The following is a 20,201-nucleotide window of genomic DNA, read 5'->3' as shown; positions in this document are numbered from 1 at the left end:
ATGAAAGTTGCAATTGGCTACAAAGATTTAAATATATCTTCTACCCAATCTCTACTGACTCACGTCAGGGATGTTAAACTTTTTTTTTTTTTTTTTTTTAAGACAGCGTCTTGGTCTGTCACCCAGGCTGGAGTGCAGTCGAGTGATCTCAGCTCACCGAAACCTCCACCTCCTGAATTCAAGCCATCCTCCCACCTCAGTCTCCCAAGTAGCTGGGCTACAAGTGCATGCCACCATGCCCAGCTAATTTTTGTATTTTCAGTAGAGATAGGGTTTTGCCATGTTGGCCAGGCTGGTCTTGAACTCGTGACCTCAGGTGATCTGCCCACCTCTGCCTCCCAAAGTGCTGGGATTACAGGTGTGAGCCACCACACCCAGCTGGGATGTTCAACTTTTGATTCTTTCATCATTCCAGATATTGACCAATTTACACAGCTAATCACACCTGGAAGAGTTGTGCCTGTGGAACTATTACTATTCCCACCTACTCCTGAACTAAAAAGAATAGAAGATGTGGCTGGACGCGGTGGCTCACGCCTGTAATCCCAGCACTTTGGGAGGCCAAGGCGGGCGGATCGCAAGGTCAGGAGATCGAGACCATCCTGGCTAACATGGTGAAACCCCATCTCTACTAAAAATATTTTTAAAAATTAGCCGGGCGTGGTGGTGGGCACCTGTAGTCCCAGCTATTCGCGAGGCTGAGGCAGGAGAATGGCGTGAACTCAGGAGGCGGAGCTTGCAGTGAGCCGAGATCACACCACTGCACTCCAGCCTGGGCGACAGAGCGAGACTCTGTCTCAAAAAAAAAAAAAAAAAAAAAAAAAAAAGAATAGAAGATGCATATATGCATATATTCTTAATTGGAGACATTTAATTTTACAAATTACAGCATGTAATGTGATTCTCTTTCACTAAGGCAAATAAGTAGTTTTCAAGAACTGAGTTCAAGAGTCAAAACAAGTGGAGGAAATTGTAAACAGGCACACCTGGTGCAATGCACCTGTGTCTTTTAAAGGTGTATGACTTTTTTTCCTGCTATGTGACTTTTAAAATGGATGCATCTCACTTGTCTAATTTCAGTCTTACCTCCTGAATTCCTACCATGGTTAGGTCTCTGCCTGCTCATTTGTGTCTCTAGATTTTGGCCCAATATAGTCTATAGCAGGGCATAGTAGTGGGTGACAGATGGCAAAAGGATTAAGGATATAAACTCTGGAGTCACTTATTTAGGGTTCTAATCCTGCTTCGTCCATGGACCAGCTGTGTGATCTTGGAAAAGTTACTTAACCTCTCTGAGTCTTGGTCTCCTCGTATGTAAAATGAATCTGTATAATGAGCCTGATAGCCTTATTGGTGTAAAGATTCAGTAAAATGATGTACTTAGGGCTTTTAGCTAAAGCTTGGTCCACAGTAGGTGCTTAATAAGTCATGGGAGTGTTGTCTGGGACTATTACCGAGATTGTTATTGTTAGGTCTTGAGTCACACATATTCCAAGAAGAATAGAGCAAAAGCATTTAGCCCCTTTCCTAACTGGCCCATTTTATACAAAGAACTGAAGGTATAATAAATGTTGTGAATCAGTGTGTAACAAGGCTCTCCCTCAGTGATATTCAACTTAAAATAAGATGGTATTTCTGGAAATCTGCAGGATCGAGAGCCATTAAATCTTGAGTGTGGCTAATTTTCTGCAACAGCAATTTTATAGGCAAGAGGTAGAAGGTTCTGGAATGGTTCCAACATTCAAGGGAACATTTCAAAGGATAAATTGCACAGATGGTCAGAACCTATAGCACGTTCAACATGTTATTCATAGAAATGTATGTGTTTCAATGTTAAATTGTGAGAAGTAGAAACCAAGACTGGAATGCAAAGTGTATTTGTGAAAAATTATGTTTTCAACTTAGATTTTCCCCTGTATCTATCATGTCAAGTTCTATAAAATTAGATTTCTTTTTCAAAATATAGTGGAATGTGCCATGTATCTTTATTTAGATTTTAAAAGCCATTATTTTCCATGGAAAGTGCTCTCCTGCAGAGTTAGATTGGTACTATCATTTTTGAAAATAATGTGATTTAACAGTTTCTTGAATAATTAAACATTTGGAGCCTCGTTTTCCTTTAGAAACCATGGATATAAGGCCAGTTCTAAAATATTCCCAGCACTCAAAATGCTAGGATCCTAAACAAGATTTTGTAAATAATTAGATTCAAGTCAATGAATATTTATTGTGCCTGTTCCGTGGTATGAACACAAAAGGGTATGTGGGGTGTATGGGGGTGGTGGTGGATGGTAGAGGAAAAGAATGACAGATAGAGATGAATAAATCATCATTCCTAGTCTGGAGATGACCCAACCTATCACAGGAGACAGGCCTGTGTATAATCATAATATAGCATGGTAAGTGCTACAAACTGAGCATAAAATGCCACAGGATTTCAGGAAAGTGAATTTGTTGAAATGATTAATTTCTAACTCCCAGGAAGAGAAAAAGATAAAAACAAATACAAATACATACATTCAGCTTTAGAATTTATTATAGGTGAAGGAAAGAGAGGGTAGGACCTTTGATTAAAGATAGCTGCTTTCAGACATTAAGAAATGGGCCAGGAAGCCATAGAAACAAAAATAGTCCAAATGTTCCATCTGCTTTGATTTAAACAGACAAATTAGGAAAATTATCAAAATCCCACAAGACTGCTTAAATTAGTGGACGTTTGTACAGAATGAGACTTAAAAGACTCAGAACTCCAAAGGCTAAGAAGACTTCTATAGATACCTACCTGTTGTGGTTAAGCTTAGAACAGGAGTTTTAACAGCCTGGGGTTTCACTGGTGAGCAACTATGCAAAGGCCCATCTCTGAGTTTCAGTTTGTTCATAATTGTATAAATAATGACATGGGGAAATACTATTTCTACTTTCCTCATAGGAAAAGAGCCATGAAAAACTGGCAAGCACCTGCTCGTTACTGAACTTCAAGTATAAAGAAGGCATTCTTAGACCTCTAGGTAGAAGAAAGCAGATCATCTATATGAAGGGAAGTAGCAAGTTTGTGTCATATTTCTGCAAGGCAACTTTCAGTGTTAGAAGAATATAGAGGAATGTGTATAGACTGCTAAGGTTAGAATCAAGTGTCTCACAGATATTTTAAGATGTCTGTATTAGTCCGTTCTCACACTCCTAATAAAGACATACCCAAGCATGGGTAATTTATAAGAAAAAGATGTTTAATGGACTCACAGTTCCACATGGCTGAGGAGGCCTCACAATCATGGAGGAAGGCGAAGGAAGAACAAAGGCACATCTTACATGGCAGCAGGCAAGAGAGTGTGTGCAAGCGAACCGTCCTTTATAAAACCATCAAATTTCGTGAGACTTATTCACTATCATGAGAACAGCATGGGAAAAACTTGACCCCATGATTCAGTTACCTCCAACAGGGTCCCTCCCATGACACGTGAGGATTATGAGAGCTAGAATTCAAGATGTGATTTGGGTGGAGACACAGCCAAACCACATCAATGTCTTTCAACATAATCATTAAAAATCATGAAAAAACTTGGGGAATATAATGCTGATATGTCCTTCTGGAAACAAACAAACAAACAAAAAAACAAGACAAACCTAAGCAAAACAGAAATAACTACTTGACTAAATACAGCTAACTAAGAAATGGAGAGAAAAAAGATTAAGTTAAGGGGAATTTTCCACTTGGATGCATTTAGAATTGTGTGAAGATGTTTTTCATTTTTGCAGTTAGAGTTTTTGAGCCTCCTACTGGCATTCACGGTGTTGGGGCCAGGGATGCTGAACATCTATAAAGAAATTGCCCTGCCCAAATGAAACTAGCACTCTTATTGCTCCCTTTGAAAAATTCTGCATCTTAGTCAAAGTAAAAAAACAAAACTTTTGGGGGCATCCCTTATTCAGAAGCTACATACTTGGGATGGGATTGAAGACAGTAACTAAAACCAGAAAATCAGGTTAACCTGTTTCCATGACAGGCGCAGTGTACATAGGCTATGACATAGGGTTTGTGCTGAGGAATGCAGATATTGTTGCGGGAAGTCAGGGACCCCAAATGGAGGGACTGGCTGAAGCCATGGCAGAAGAACGTGGATTGTGAAGTTTTCATGGACATTTATTAGTTCCCCAAATTAATACTTTTATAATTTCTTATGGCTGTCTTTACTGCAATCTCTAAAAGTAAATTGTAAAGATTTCATGGACACTTATCACTTCCCCAATCAATACCCTTGTGATTTCCTATGCCTGTCTTTACTTTAATCTCTTAATCCCATCGGCTGAGGAGGATGTATGTTGCCTCAGGACCCTGTAATAATTGCATTAACTGCACAAACTGTACAGCATGTGTGTTTGAGCAATATGAAATCTGGGCACCTTGAAAAAAGAACAGGATAACAGCAATTGTTCAGGGAATAAGAGAGATAACCTTAAACTCTGACCGCCGGTGAGCTGGGCGGAACAGAGCCATATTTCTCTTCTTTCAAAAGCAAATGGGAGAAATATCGCTGAATTCTTTTTCTCAGCAAGGAACATCCCTGGGAAAGAGAATACACGCCTAGAGGTATAGGCCTATAAACGGCCCCCTCAGGTGTGCCTGTCTTTTATGGTCGAGACTGCAGGGGTGAAATAGACCCCAGTCTCCCATAGCGCTCCCAGGCTTATTAGGAAGAGGAAATTCCCACCTAATAATTTTGGTCAGACCAGTTGCTCTCAAAACCCTGTCTCCCAGGGATGCCCTCTCTCACCACTCCTATTCAATATAGTGTTGGAAGTTCTGACCAGGGCAATTAGGCAGGAGAAGTAAATAAAGGGTATTCAATTAGGAAAAGAGGAAGTCAAATTGTCCCTGTTTGCAGATGACATGATTGTATATCTAGAAAACCCCATTGTCTCACCCCAAAATCTCCTTAAGCTGATAAGCAACTTCAGCAAAGTCTCAGGATACAAAATCAATGTACAAAAATCACCAGCATTCTTATACACCAATAACAGACAGAGAGCCAAATTATGAGTGAACTCCCATTCACAATTGCTTCAAAGAGAATAAAATACCTAGGAATCCAACTTACAAGGGATGTGAAGGACCTCTTCAAGGAGAACTACAAACCACTGATCAATGAAATAAAAGAGGATACAAACAAATGGAAGAACATTCCATGCTCATGGGTAGGAAGAATCAATATCGTGAAAATGGCCATACTGCCCAAGGTAATTTATAGATTCAATGCCACCCCATCAAGCTACCAATGACTTTCTTCACAGAATTGGAAAAAACTACTTTAAAGTTCATATGGAACCAAAAAAGAGCCCACATCGCCAAGTCAATCCTAAGCCAAAAGAACAAAGCCGTAGGCATCACGCTACCCGATTTCAAACTATACTACAAGGCTACAGTAACCAAAACAGCATGGTACTGGTACCAAAACAGAGATATAGATCAATGGAACAGAACAGAGCCCTCAGAAATAATGCCGCATATCTACAACCATCTGATCTTTGACAAACCTGACAAAAACAAGAAATGGGGAAAGGATTCCCTATTTAATAAATGGTGCTGGCAAAACTGGCTAGCCATATGTAGAAAGCTGAAACTGGATCCCTTCCTTACACCTTATACAAAAATTAATTCAAGATGGATAAAAGACTTACATGTTAGACCTAAAACCATAAAAACCCTAGAAGAAAACCTAGGCAATACCATTCAGGACATAGGCACGGGCAAGGACTTCATGTCTAAAACACCAAAAGCAATGGCAACAAAAGACAAAATTGACAAATGGGATCTAATTAAATTAAAGAGTTTCTGCACAGCAAAAGAAACTACCATCAGAGTGAACAGGCAACCTACGAAATGGGAGAAAATTTTCACAACCTACTCATCTGACAAAGGGCTAATATCCAGAATCTACAATGAACTCAAACAAATTTACAAGAAAAAAACAAACAACCCCATCAAAAAGTGGGCGAAGGATTTGAACAGACACTTCTCAAAAGAAGATATTTATGCAGCCAAAAGACACATGAAAAAATGCTCATCATCACTGGCCATCAGAGAAATGCAAATCAAAACCACAATGAGATACCATCTCACACCAGTTAGAATGGCGATCATTAAAAATTCAGGAAACAACAGGTGCTGGAGAGGATGTGGAGAAATAGGAACATTTTTACACTGTTGGTGGGACTGTAAACTAGTTCAACCATTGTGGAAGTCAGTGTGGCGATTCCTCAGGGATCTAGAACTAGAAATACCATTTGACCCAGCCATCCCATTACTGGGTATATACCCAAAGGCCTATAAATCATGCTGCTATAAAGACACATGCACACATATGTTTATTGCGGCACTATTCACAATAGCAAAGACTTGGAACCAACCAAAATGTCCAACAACAATAGACTGGATTAAGAAAATGTGGCCCATATACTCCATGGAATACTATGCAGCCATAAAAAATGAAGACTTCATGTCCTTTGTAGGGACATGGATGAAACTGGAAACCATCATTCTCAGTAAACTATCACAAGGACAAAAAACCAAACACCGCATGTTCTCACTCATAGGTGGGAATTGAACAATGAGAACACATGGACACAGGAAGGGGAACATCACACTCTGGGGACTGTTGTGGGGTGGGGGGAGGTGGGAGGGATAGCATTAGGTGATATACCTAACGCTAAATGACGAGTTAATGGGTTCAGCACACCAATATGGCACATGTATGCATATGTAACAAATCTGCACATTGTGCACATGTACCCTAAAACTTAAAGTATATAAAAAAAAAATCCCTGTCTCCTGATAAGAAGTTATCAATGACAATGGTGACTGAAACTTCATTAGCAATTTTAATTTCACCCCATCCTGTGGTCCTGTGATCTTGTCCTGCCTCCACTTGCCTTGTGATATTCTATTACCTTGTAAAGTACTTGATGTCTGTGACCCACACCTATTTGCACACTCCCTCCCCTTTTGAAAACCCCTAATAAGAACTTGCTGGTTTTTGCAGCTTGTGGGGCATCACGGAACCTACTGACATGTGATGTCTCCCCTGGATGCCCAGCTTTAAAATTTCTCTCTTTTGTACTCTGTCCCTTTATTTCTCAAGCTGGCCAACGCTTAAGGAAAACAGAAAAGAACCTACGTGAATATGGGGGCAGATTCCCCAACAGATATATTTTTAGGACTTTCCCAAATGAAAATCCCCAGGACTCATATTCTCCTAAAAAAAAAACCTCCAAAATATCAGTTGTAAGTATCACAAAACTGCATGGATGGAAATTAACATTTAAAAATCACAATAAAATATTACAATAGTCTCCAATGACAAAACAGGTTAAAGTGCAAATACAAAAATATATCACCAGGGTAAAAGATATCAGAAGTCAGCAAATTAAGGTAATAAATGGACGTTTTGAATTATTAGATAATACAAGGCTTAGCAAGTGTACAACCACACATGCTTTTAAAAGCATTTGTCACGGAGATCTTATTGCAAAGTCAAATATCTGGAAATTTCCTATAATCATTTTGAGTTGAACAGGCATACTAACTTGTTAATTTCAAAGTTGATAAATTGGTCAGGCATGGGGGCTGACATCTGTAATCCCAGTATTTTGGGAATCCAAGGCAGGAGGATCACTTGAGCCCAGTTTGAGATCACCCTGGGCAACAGAATGAGACCCCTTCTTTACAATTTTTTTTTTTTAATTAGCTGGGGCCAGACACAGTGACTCATGCCTGTAATCCCAGCACTTTGGGAGGCCAAGACGGGTGGATCACTTGAGGTCAGGAGTTTGAGACCAGCCTGGACAACATGGTGAAACCCCATCTCTACTAAAAATACAAAAATTAGCTGGGCGTGGTGGTGGCGCCTGTAATCCTAGCTACTTGGGAGGCTGAGGCACTAGAATCCTTTGAACCCGGGGGGCGGAGGTACTGAGATCGGGCCACTGCACTCCAGCCTGGGTGACAGACTGAGACTTTGTCTCAAAAAAAAAAAAAAATTAGCTGGGTGTGATGGCACATGCCTATAGTCTCAGCCACTCAGGAGGCAGAAGTGGGAGACTGCTTGAACACAGAAGATTGAGGCTGCAGTAAGCTCTGACTGCACCACTGCACTCCAGCCTTGGTGACAGAGTGAGACTGTGCCTCTAAAATAAACAAATACATACAAATAAAAAAATTAAGTTGATAAATTGAATCCAATATTTATTTACCAAAATAGTTCCAATTACACACTTTAAAACATCATGACTAGTCTTTTGGAAGACTGGCTGAACACCTAAGCAGTTGTCCTTACTTTTGACTATGAATGTTCATAACATATGGAAGATGTCAAAATTCTACTCTAAATTTGAATAATATTAATTTATTAACAATTTATAATACAATTATAACATTAGTATTATGGTATTAATATGTTAATAGTAGTGTCTTCCTAATTTATCAGTCCTTCAAATTATAATGAAATTTTTAGCTAAGTTTTTTGCATATAGCAGTAGTTAATGGTTTTTGAATGCCTTCTATGTGTCTCACATTATTGGAAATAGTTCACATGCAAACTCAATGACTTTCACAGCATCCTTATTATTTCTACTTTATAAATGAGAGGTCCCAAGGTTCTCGCACCTGGTGAAACAAAGGTGGAACAAAATCTTGAATCCAGGGAGTCTGATGGTATATCCAACATCTTGAGGTTCTATGTATCTTGGAATATTCCTGTAACCTTAAAGCATACAACTCTTTCTTATTCATACATTTTACTCATTTGTAATTAACATCCTTTCTCTGGATAATTTCATCTTTGTTGTTTAACAATATTTATTATTTATTAAAAGCAATATGTGTTCATTATAGAGATGTGGAAGATTCTAAAATGCAGAAAATATTAATATAATGTAATATTCCTCTGGCAAGAAATAACCACTGTTAATGGTTTTGCTTCCAGTCTTGTTTGTGTGTGTGTGTGTGTGTTTATATATGTGCATGTATATGGGAGTTTGTTCATATATATGCATAGTTTATAGTTACTTTTCTATTTAATTTTTCTGGAAATTATTTTGGTATATCATAATAAGAATTTAACGTTTATTCCAGCAAATATTTAACTAACTCCCCCAACAGCAGTTACTGGAATATCCTTTTCTCTCTATTCATGTAGATGCCTTTATGCAGTCTTCTCTCAGTATCCCTGAGGGATTGGTTCCAAGGCCCACACAGACACCAACATTCAGTGATGCTTAGGTCCCTTATATAAAATGGTGTAGTGTTTGCATACAACTACACACATCTTCTTGTATACTTTAAATCATCTGTAGATTACTTATAATAACTAGTACAATGTAAATGCTATGTAAATAGTTGTTATACTGCATTGTTTTTTATTTATTTTGTTATTCTTTATTATTTTTTTCCAAATATTTTTGAGCCAAGGTTGACTGGATCCATGGATGTGGAACCTAGAGATTTATACAGGTACAGAGGACCCACTGTATCAAATCTGTATAAAACTAGAGTTTCTTGCTCAAGTGTCTACTGTATTCCATTGATCATTCTTTGCAACATACTAGTTCCCTTTATCTGTGGGGAATACATTCTAAGACCTCCAGTAGATGCCTGAAACCATGGATAATACTGAAACCTATATATGCTATGCACGAATTTCTTTTCCCATCTATAATTTTGTGGCTAGAACATATTTTTACTGTAGACCTTAGTAACCTTAGCATATAATTTCTTTCCTTATTAAGTCAATAATGATCACCTTTTCACTTAAAGGAAGCACTTCACAGCTCTCGCTGGCATTCTGAATTGGCAATATCACTACTCTTGTACTTTGGGGACATTATTAAGTAAAATAAGGGTTCCCTGAGCAAAAGCACTGCCATACTGCCACAGTTGATCTGATAATCAAGATGGCTGCTAAGTGATGAAAGAGCATGAGGGTATACAGCATGGATATGCTGGACAGAGGGAGGAGTCACATCCTGGGTGGGGCAGAGCCAGAGGCGCAAAATTTCATTGGGCTACTCAGGTCAGGACAGATCACAACTTAAACTTATGAATCGTTTATTTCCAGAACTTTTCATTTAGTAATTTTAGTCAGCAGCTGACCACAGATAAATGAAATAGTGGAAAGTGAAACCTATGATGACAGGGGCACTGTACAACATTTTTATATCTGGCAGAGAAATGTCCTCTTCCTTATTCTTTTTTTTGTCTAAGACTATTCTTCCAGATGAATTTTACAATTACTTTATTGGATCCCAAAACAAAACCCTTGCTGAAATTCTAACAGCATTAATTTGGGAGGAAATAATATCTCTAAAATATTTGAACCTAGGGGATATGGTACATATGTCTTCTATTGTGTCTTTCTTTAAATGCTGTAATTTTATTTATACAGGTCTCATTCATTTTTGGATAATTTATTCCTAGTTATTAAATAATTTTAGTACTAATATAAACAGACTTTTTTCTATTCCATTTTCTAACTTATTTTTCCTGTTATATAGGCTAAATATTGGTTTTAAAATACTTTTTATTTGACCACAATATTTTTCACTGCTTCTACAATCCAATAGATTTTGTTTTTCCAAGAACACAATCATATATGCAAATAATTATTTCATTTTATCCTTTTCTATTTTATTCTATTTCTATGTCATGTCTTATTGCCCTGAATCAGGCTAGCAAAATTATGTTAACTAATAGTGGTAATGGAGTCATTTTTGCCGTATCTTTGATATTACTGAAGATGCTGATGTTTGGTGTTGATTTAAATCATTAACCTGGTAATGTATTGTGGATGGTGTTGTTGCTGCTGTTGCTGCTGCTGCTGCTGCTGCTGAGAGGTGGAGAAGTGGGGAAAGAAGAGGGGGATGCTGCAGTTTAGTCTAAGTGATACATTTCTAGGTTTAGATATATTTGCTTAAAGCTTTGGCAGCCAGAATCTACTGGTACAAAGAACTAAATTTTTTTCTCAGGATAGCATCAGGCAATACTCTGTGCTTTGGGAGTAACAAAGGGTTTTCAGGGGAGACAATTCTGAAGTTAGCAGCATCTCAGTCACTTAATTATCCCTGGTCCTGAATACTTAGTCCAAAGTCTGACTCACAGCAAGTGAAGGGTTGTAAAAATTGGGAGCAGTTTTTATTCAAAGTTACAAATTTGCTTCAGAAACAGAATTCTAAAAGTTTTGATATATAGTGTTCTCGCTATCATAAGTTTTAAAGATAATTTTAGTTGACCATTATAATAGTTATCTATATATATAGATTTATATTTAAATTTCTAATTTATTATCAGTTTATGACACTTTTTATACATTTATTCTTTTTCCACTTTAAAAACATTTTATGAACTTTTTGGGTTATATTTTGCCCTTGCTTTCTCTAGTGCTTTAGAAAATATATCTCTAGTTTTTAAGCGTATTGGTAGTGATTTTACAAAATATTTGAACCTATATTTTCTGTTTATCCTACATCAAGAATGAAACCAAATCTACTGACTCTTGGCTTTTATGGCTATATTTATTTTAGGCTTAAGCATTTTTTTTTACATTACATGTTTTCTATTTCAAAATTCGTTGACAACTGCATTCAGTTTTACAACAATTCATAGCTTTAGCTCCATAATAATTTTTTTTTTTTTTTGAGATGGAGTGTTGCTCTGTCACCCAGGCTGCAGTGCAGTGGCACGATCTTGGCTCACTGCAACCTCCACCTCCTGGGTTCAAGTGATTCTTCTGCCTCAGCCTCTCTAGTAGCTGGAACTGCAGGTGCACATCACCATCCCTGGCTATTTTTTGTATTTTTAGTAGAGACAGGGTTTCACCATATTGGCCAGGCTGGTCTCAAACTCCTGACCTCGAGATCTGCCTGCCTCAGCCTCCCAAAGTGCTGGGATTACAGGCGTGAGCCACTGCACCCGGGCAGCTCCATAATAATTTTAATAACTGCCTCCAAACCTTTTATATGACAATTTCCCCATTTAAAATCCTATTTTTATTTATTAGTTGGCTGAAATATATCATTAAAATATTTATTTCCCATTAGAAAATTAATGTTAGGCAGGTTTTCTGAATACTGATGATGTAGGACAGGCAAGCCCCCAAACTGAGGCTTAGCTTGGGAGGGTTCTTGGCTTTACCGAGGAAAGAATTCAAGGGCGAGCCCATGATGTTAGACAGCAACTTTTATTGAAGCAGCGGCGTACAGCAGTACAAGAATTACTGCTTCTTGAAGAGCAGAGCTACCCCATAGTCAATGTGTCCAGAGTAGCAGCTCAGAGGCAATTCTGCAGTCATACTTTTACCCACTTTTAATTACATATAAATTAAGGGTTGGATTATGTAGAAATTTCTAGGAAAAGGGTGGTAACTTCTGGGTCATGCGGTTATTATCATGGCAAGAGGTGGTAACTTCTGGGTGTAGCCATGGCAGTGATAAACTAAGATGACACACTGGTAGCTGTGTCTTATGGAAAGCAGCTTCCACCAAGTCTCTGTTCTAGCTAGTCCTCAATTTGGTCCAGTGTTCGAGCCCTGCCTCCAGAGTTGAGTCCCACCTTCTACCTTACTTATATATTACAGATGTTTCAGAATATTTGCTGCCTTTACCTATGAATGACAATTTAGTGGTTGTAGAATTCATGGATTACAATGCATTCTTCCCTGTAGACACTTGCTCTATTGTCCTCTAGTGTTAAATACTGGTTTGAGGACTGAGGCTGGTTTGATTTTGTCCTTCCAGTATATTGTTTATCTTCTTCTGGCATTCTGTTTAAAATGTTGCTATTATTTTTGAAATGTTCAAAAACAACAGGGTAAATCTGGATGTTTATCAGTTTACTCAGTTTTGACTAAAATGAGACATGGAGTCTTTTATTTTTGCATGAAAAAGTGGTTTCTTATTATATCCTTGACTACTGTCTCTGTTTTATAGAGTGCTCATCTCCTCTTTGGGAAAACTGTTTTTTTAGACTGAATGTCTGTTGCCATATCTACTATCGACTTTCTTATTAGTGGCATCTTTTCTCTTTTCTTCCTGCATTTTTGTAAATCTTATTACATTTTGCATCTGAATAAATAATTACCTACAACTTCAATTCTGCACTTTACTATTTTTAGTTCAGATTTTAATTTTTTAATTTGGTTTCTGTAACCTTTTATTATTATATTATGCTTCCTTATCATTTATGCTCCTAAGCAGAGCTTTATTTTTATTTCAAGCTGGTGATTAATAACTTCTTAAACATCAAGCTTGTTTCAATGTCAAAACACATGAATCTTTTTGAATAAACAGAGCAGATGCTTTTAAAAGATATCTTCCATACCCTTTTAATGTCTTTTTCCAAAAGTATGCTGTTACTCTATATCTTGAAGACAAATTTCTTCCTGTTTTTGTATTTTAGGATATTTTGAAAAGTTCATATTTTTTATTCCTCTTTACCAAACTTAATTAAAAAGGGATTAGTGCAAGTCTAATGTTTGCCAATAGAAAACAGAAGTGGATTCTTCTTTGTGATCATCACCATTTATCTTAATTGTAAATCATCATTTACCTTAATTGTAAATAGTGATGATCACAAAGGAGAATCCACTTGTCTTGTTTCTATGCTGAAGTTCCAGTGAAGCAGTTCTTGTCATGTTTCCAGCCTCCAGCAATTTCCTATCAGGTTGTGGTTTGGATGCACAGTGGAAGAGTCATCTGTTCCTCCACCTGACTATGCGGAATTTATTTCTGAATAATTTGGAGCAATCTGTTGCCTTCTCTTGCATAAAGCATTACATAAGAATTGACAACTCTTAGAACTAATACTTCCATAGATCCTGCTGCCTTTAGCCCAACCTACAACTGCTGTCACATTCCAGGGGCTTTTACTGACTCTTTTGCAATTATGAGACTTAAAGTCCAAGCTTTGCTATGGTGGGAAGAAAAAGGATTTGAAACAGACTTGGCTCTCAGAGAAAGCCACTCACATAAAATAAGATGCTGGATGCTAACTCTGTCTGTGTCCCATGTCTTGGTAAAGGATCTCAGTAGGTGTGAGTGAGAACACACAAGTCTCCTCCTGCTTGGTTCTTCTGTCTTGCCTTAGGATCCATCTTTACCTTTTCCAATGCTGATTCCTTTTAGAGTTTGGAAGATTGTTGACAAATACCTCTTGGTCCTAGAAGCATTAAAACTTTGAAACTTTTGTGTGTGTGTTTTCATTGAACACAACAAAAAAAATCTGAGAAAAGAAAATGAAGCACCAGGAGGTACCTTCTTTTTTAATCTGGAAATTTCAACACCACCATTTTACATGATTCTACCAACACCTAGGAAGTGTGTGGCTATTACTGTTTAATAATAATAAAATCAAAGTTCCACGGTCAAGCAGTGAAGTTAACAGAATATTATTATAGCATTGCCTTGAAGCTCTCCTTCTGACCCAGAAATAAAATATATCCTACCTGATTATCGCAGAGAACTGTTCATTTTATCAACACCCCTCCTGAATTAGCCATTACCAAATAAAAATTTATTTTTTATGGGTCAAAGACATCATAAATAGTAAATTCACATCACGCCCATATAATACAAAACAGAACTTTATTCCCTAAGGGAATACTTCAGCTTTTTGGCAAACAACTACTACCACAGAGTAAGGAAAAAAATTTTATGGTCCCAACCCATCCTCCAATAAACAATCAATGAAAGAATAACACAGACATACAGTAGTGTTATTCACTCTTTACTATCTGATATGGCTTGGCTGTGTCTCTACCCAAATCTCACCTTAAACTGTAATAATCCCCTTGTGTCAGGGGTGGGACTAGGTGGAGATAATTGAATCTTGGGGGCAGTTCCCCATACTGTTCTCGTGGTAGCGAATAAGTCTCATGAGAACTGATGGTTTTATAAATGGGAGTTCCCCTGCACAAGCCCTCTTGACTGTCGCCATGTGAGATATGTCTTGCTTCCCCTTCTGCCATGATTGTGAGGCCTCCCTAACCATGTGGAACTGTGGGTCAATTAAACCTCTTTCCTTTATAAATTACCCAGTTTCAGGTATGTCATTATCAGCAGCATGAGAACAGACTAATACAGTAAATTGGTACCAGGTAGAAGGGCACTTCTGTAAAGATACCCAAAAATGTGGAAGTGACTTTGGAACTGGGCAACAGTCAGAGGTTGAAAGAGTTTAGAGGGCTCAGAAGAAGACTGGAAAATGTGGGAAAGTTTGGAACTTCCTAGGGACTTGGAGGGCTCAGAAGAAGACAGGAAGATGTGGGAAAGTTTGGAGCTTCCTAGAAATTTGTTGAATTGCTTTGACTAAAATGTTGATAGTGATATGGACAATAAAGTCCAGGCTGAGGTGGACTCAAATGGAGATGAGGAACTTCTTGGGAACTGGAGTAAAGGTCACTCTTGTTATGCAAAGAGACTGGCAGCATTTTGCCCCTGCCCTAGAGATATGTGGAACCTTGAACTTGAGAGAGATGATTTAGGGTATCTGGCAGAAGAAATTTCTAAGCAGCAAAGTGTTCAAGAGAAAGCAGAGCATAAAATTTTGGAAAATTTGCAGCCTGCTGACATGATAGAAAAGAAAACCCCATTTTCTGGGGAGACATTCAAGCCTGCTGTAGAAATTTGCATAAGTAATGAGAAGCCAAATGTTAATCACCAAGACAATGTGGAAAATGTCTCCAAGGCAAGTCAGAGACCTTCACAGCAGCCCCTCCCATCACAGGCCTGGAGGCCTTGGAGGGAAAAATGGTTTCATAGGCCTGACCCAGGGCTCCCCTGCTGTGTGCAGTCTGGGGTATATGGTGCCTTGTGTCCCAGCTGCTTCAGCTCCAGCCATGGCTAAAATGAGGCAATGTACAACTCAGGCCATTGCTTCAGAAGGTGCAAGCCCCAAGCCTTGGTGGCTTCCACATGGTGTTGAGCCTGTGGGTGCACAGAAGTCAAGAACTGAGGTTGGGAACCTCCACCTAGATTTCAGAGGATGTATGGAAATGCCTGGATGCCCAGGCAGAAGTATGCTGCAGGGAACGTCTGCTAGGGTAGTGCAGAGGGGAAATATAGGGTTGTAGCCCCCACACAAAGTCCTCACCAGGGCACTGCCTAGTGGAGCTGTGAGCAGGGGCCACCATCCTCCAGACCCAGAATGGTAGATCCACCAACAACCTGAACTGTGCACCTGGAAAAGCCACAGACACTCAACACCAGCCCATGAAAGCAGTTGGGAGGGAAGCTGTACCCTGAAAAGCCACAGAGGCAGAGCTTCCCATGCCCATGGGAGCCCACTGCTTGCATCAGCATGATCTGGAGGTGAGACAAGGAGTCAAAGGAGATCATTTCAGAGCTTTAAGATTTTTCTGCCCCATTGGATTTCAGACTTGCATGGGGCCTGTAGCACCTATGTTTTGGCCAATTTCTCCCATTTGGAATGGCTGTATTTACCCAAGGCCTATACCCCCACTGTATCTAGGAAGTAACTAACTTGCTTTTGATTTTATAGCCTCATAGGCAGAAGGGACTTGCTTTGTCTCAGCTGAGACTTTGGACTGTGGACTTCTGAGTTAATGCTGAAATGAGTTAAGACTTTGGGAATTTTTGGGAAGGCATGATTGGTTTTGAAATGTGAGGACATGAGATTTAGGAGGGGTCAGGGGCAGAATGATATGGTTAGGCTTTGTGTCCCCACCCAAATCTCACCTTGAATTGAAACAATCCCCATGTGTCAAGGGTGGGGCCAGCTAGAGATAATTGAATTATGCAGAGGGGTTTTCCCATACTATTCTCATGGTAGTGAATAAGTCTCACAAGATCCGATGCAAAAGCCCTCTTGCCTGTCACCATGTAAGACATGCCTTTGCTTCTCCTTTGCCTTCTGCCATGATGGTGAGGCCTCCCCAGCCATGTGGAACTGTGAATCCATTAAACCTCTTTTCTTTATAAATTACTCACTCTGGGCTATATCTTTATTAGCAGCATGAGAACAGACTAATACACCATCCTTAGAGGGAAACACTTATAAAAAGAAAGGATCACTGTTCACCTTTAAGTCATGAGACATTGATATTTCCCACAGAGTCTTTCTCTCTCTCTCTCTCTCTCTCTTTCTTTCTTTGATGGAGTCTCACTTTGTTGCCAAGGCTGGAGTGCAGTGGCGTGATCTTGGCTCACTACAACCTCTGGCTCCCAGGTTCAAGCGATTCTCCTGCCTCAGCCTCCTGAGTAGCTGGGACCATGCCCGGCTAATTTTGTATTTTTAGCAGAGATGAGGGTTCACCATGTTGGCCAGGCTGGTTTCAAACTCCTGACCTCAAGTGATCTGCCCACCTCAGCCTCCCAAGGTGCTGAGATTACAGGCATAAACCACCATGCCCAGCCTAGTCATTCTTTCTTAAGCCCTTCTCTTGTGGCCTGCAGTAGGTAGAGGCTATTGCACATAAACTATATCTATATATCTAAAGAAAACACTGTCCTCTGAGGGAGGCCATTGTGGGTGGCAGAATTCCTTGTTCATGATTTCAGCTTTTCAGAGCATTGAATATCATAAGAACAGAATACATACAGGCCAAATTGTCAATTAGGGTAAAGTGTTGTTTTTGTTGTTGTTGTTTGTTTAAGATATTGTGATAATATCCTTCCTGTCATGGTCTACATATACTTGTTTGGAATGAGCATTTTTTAATGTAATTAAAATGTGTAATCTTAAAAGCTTATTTCCTTACAGCTTGATTCCTCACTTTTTTCCTTCTCTTTATTCATGATAATCAGAAACAGTGCATGCCTTTCTGGACCTCAAAAGGACACTGTGAGTACTTCTCTATTAGTATACTTTGGGGTGTTGTTTTTGTGTTTTTCTTTTCTTTTTTTTTTTTTTAAGGAGTCTCTCTCTGTCACCCAGGCTAGAGTGCAGTGGCGCGATCTCAGCTTACTGCAACCTCCGCCTCCCAGGTTCAAGCGATTCTCTTGCCTCAGCCTCTCGAGTAGGTGGGATTAGAGGTGGCTGCCGTCATGCCCAGCTAATTTTGTATTTTTAGTAGATAATGGGTTTCACCATCTTGGCCAGGCTGGTTTCGAACTCCTGACCTCGTGATCCACCTGCTTTGACCTCCCAAAGTGCTGGGATTACAGGCATGAGCCATCGCACCCGGCCTTGTGTTTTTCTTTCATGCTGCCACTATTAACTAGACATATTTCTCATCCTGATTTGAGGCTGTCTAATTCTCCTACTTAAAAGCCTATGATTCTGAGAATTAAATCAACTGAAACCTAACAGAATAGCTGCTGAATTAACTTCTAAAGATCATAATCCAAGGATATCAAAGAAGAGGCAGGTCATATCTATTAAATAACCTCATATTCATGGCACTTTAATTGAGTTTTTGCAAAAGTGAAGACACTCATCTTAATCCTGAGGCATTTCCTTGAGGTATTCTCTTCCAAGGAAGATAAATAAGTTAGATGTTGCTTTATTATCCTCTTTTCTTAATCACCTTTCAGAAAGAGACTGTGTCTTGCGTTTACTTTCAGTAGCTCTCCTCGGGACCTAGAATTCATGTTGTGTGCAAAGTGAGCCCAGAGTCATCTGGTCTAGAAGCTTTAGTGGGTCTTTAAAAAGTTTGTTATTTTTATTGTTCTTTAATTAATCATTAGTTCTCAAATAAAGCAAAGGAAAAAGAAGAGCGTAAAAAGAAAAAAATTGGCCAGGTACGGAGGCTCACACCTGTAATCCCAGCACTTTGGGAGGCCGAGGCAGGTGGATCATCAGAGGTCAAGAGTTCAAGACCAGCCTGGCCAACATGGTGAAACCTCGTCTCTACAAAAAATACAAAAATTAGCCAGGCATGGTGGCGGGCACCTGTAGTCCCAGCTACTCAGGAGGCTGAGGCAGGAGAATTGCTTGAACCCAGGGAGGCGGAAGTTGCAGTGAGCCAAAATATCACACCACTGCACTCCAGCCTGGGTGACAAGAGCAAGACTCTGTCTAAAAAACCAAAAACGAGAGAGAGAGAGAGAGAGAGAGAGAGAGAAAATAAATTAGGAGAAGGAAACAGGAGTGGAAGAGAAAGAGGTAATCAGAGGAACTACTAGACCAGATAGAAGAGAATGAGATAAAACCTTATAAAGGAAGTAGGAAGAGAAGTGACAAAAAAAAAAGAATGTAATGCTAAGTGTTAATAAAGGTGAGAAAGTTTGATGAAAAGTTCTCATTGATCCTCTAAGTCCTGCTATCTGCAGTTTCCTACTTTAAATTATTTTTCATTATACCCAACTCTTCATATATGTAACACTCATAGATCTTGACAGTAAAGATCTAAGGGAAATTTTGAGCTTAGTTGGTTAGCAAATTTCATTCACATACTCAAAAACTATTCTTTTTGAGGGGAAGGTCGTGCTTTTCATTTCTTGACCGGCCATTTTTAATATCCTCTCCACTGCTTTCGGACTTCATGCTGCCATCAGGGTGATGGTCTTATAGCAAAAGTCCCTCAGGACCTCTTCATCTGCAGAATCATGTGAACCATTTTAGTAAGTCACCTGAGCCCCTCCAGGCCAGTCTCCCTGTCTTTTTAAGCCTTGGTTCTCACAATATGTACCTTACTTTCAAGAAATAACTAAAGACCAGAGTTTGTGCCTTTGTACCTTTATTATGTTCCCTAAAAAGGGAAAAAAGGAGTATTATGGAAATTCCTTTTCTTTCATATTGGCTGTTAATTAAACAATAAACTTCGTCTTTTTTTTTGTTTTGTTTTGTTTTGAGACGCAGTCTTGCTCTGTTGCCATACTGGAGTGCGGTGGTGCAATCTCAGCTCACTGCAACCTCTGCCTACCGGGTTCAAATGATTCTCCTGCCTCAGCCTCCTGAGTAGCTGGGACTATAGGCGCACACCACCATGCCCAGCTAATTTTTGTATTTTTAGTAGAGATGGGGTTTCACCACGTTGGCCAGGATGGTCTCAATTTCTTGACCTTGTGATCCGCCCGCCTTGGCCTCCCAAAGTGCTGGGATTACAGGCGTGAGCCACCACACCCAGCCAAATTTTCTTTTAAACTCCAATTCAGATACAACTTTCTCTGGCAAGATATTTTCTGACTCAGTTTCTCTCTAGATACATCAAATAGCGTATTCCCTCTCTGATGACTTTGAATCACTAAGTGCACTT

General features: G+C 39.2%; 1 protein-coding gene across 7 annotated transcripts in view; it reads right to left on the bottom strand.

Moving 5' to 3' along the window:
• Window positions 1-20,201, bottom strand: part of CAMK4 (calcium/calmodulin dependent protein kinase IV) — a 271,304-nt gene that overhangs the window by 69,625 nt on the left and 181,478 nt on the right. Inside the window, exon 1 of one of the 7 annotated variants that reach the window (XM_047417783.1) lies at window positions 8,660-8,678. The exons of the other annotated variants lie outside the window; for them this stretch is intronic. The gene's annotated coding sequence lies outside the window, so the exon portion shown is untranslated. Of the gene's footprint in view, window positions 1-8,659; window positions 8,679-20,201 lie in introns of those variants that run through there. 7 annotated transcript variants of the gene reach the window in all.

This window comes from Homo sapiens, chromosome 5 (assembly GCF_000001405.40).
Source record: "Homo sapiens chromosome 5, GRCh38.p14 Primary Assembly".
NCBI lineage: Eukaryota > Metazoa > Chordata > Mammalia > Primates > Hominidae > Homo > Homo sapiens.
Note: the sequence above shows the minus strand (reverse complement) of the source record. Positions and strands in the feature narration are given on the sequence as shown.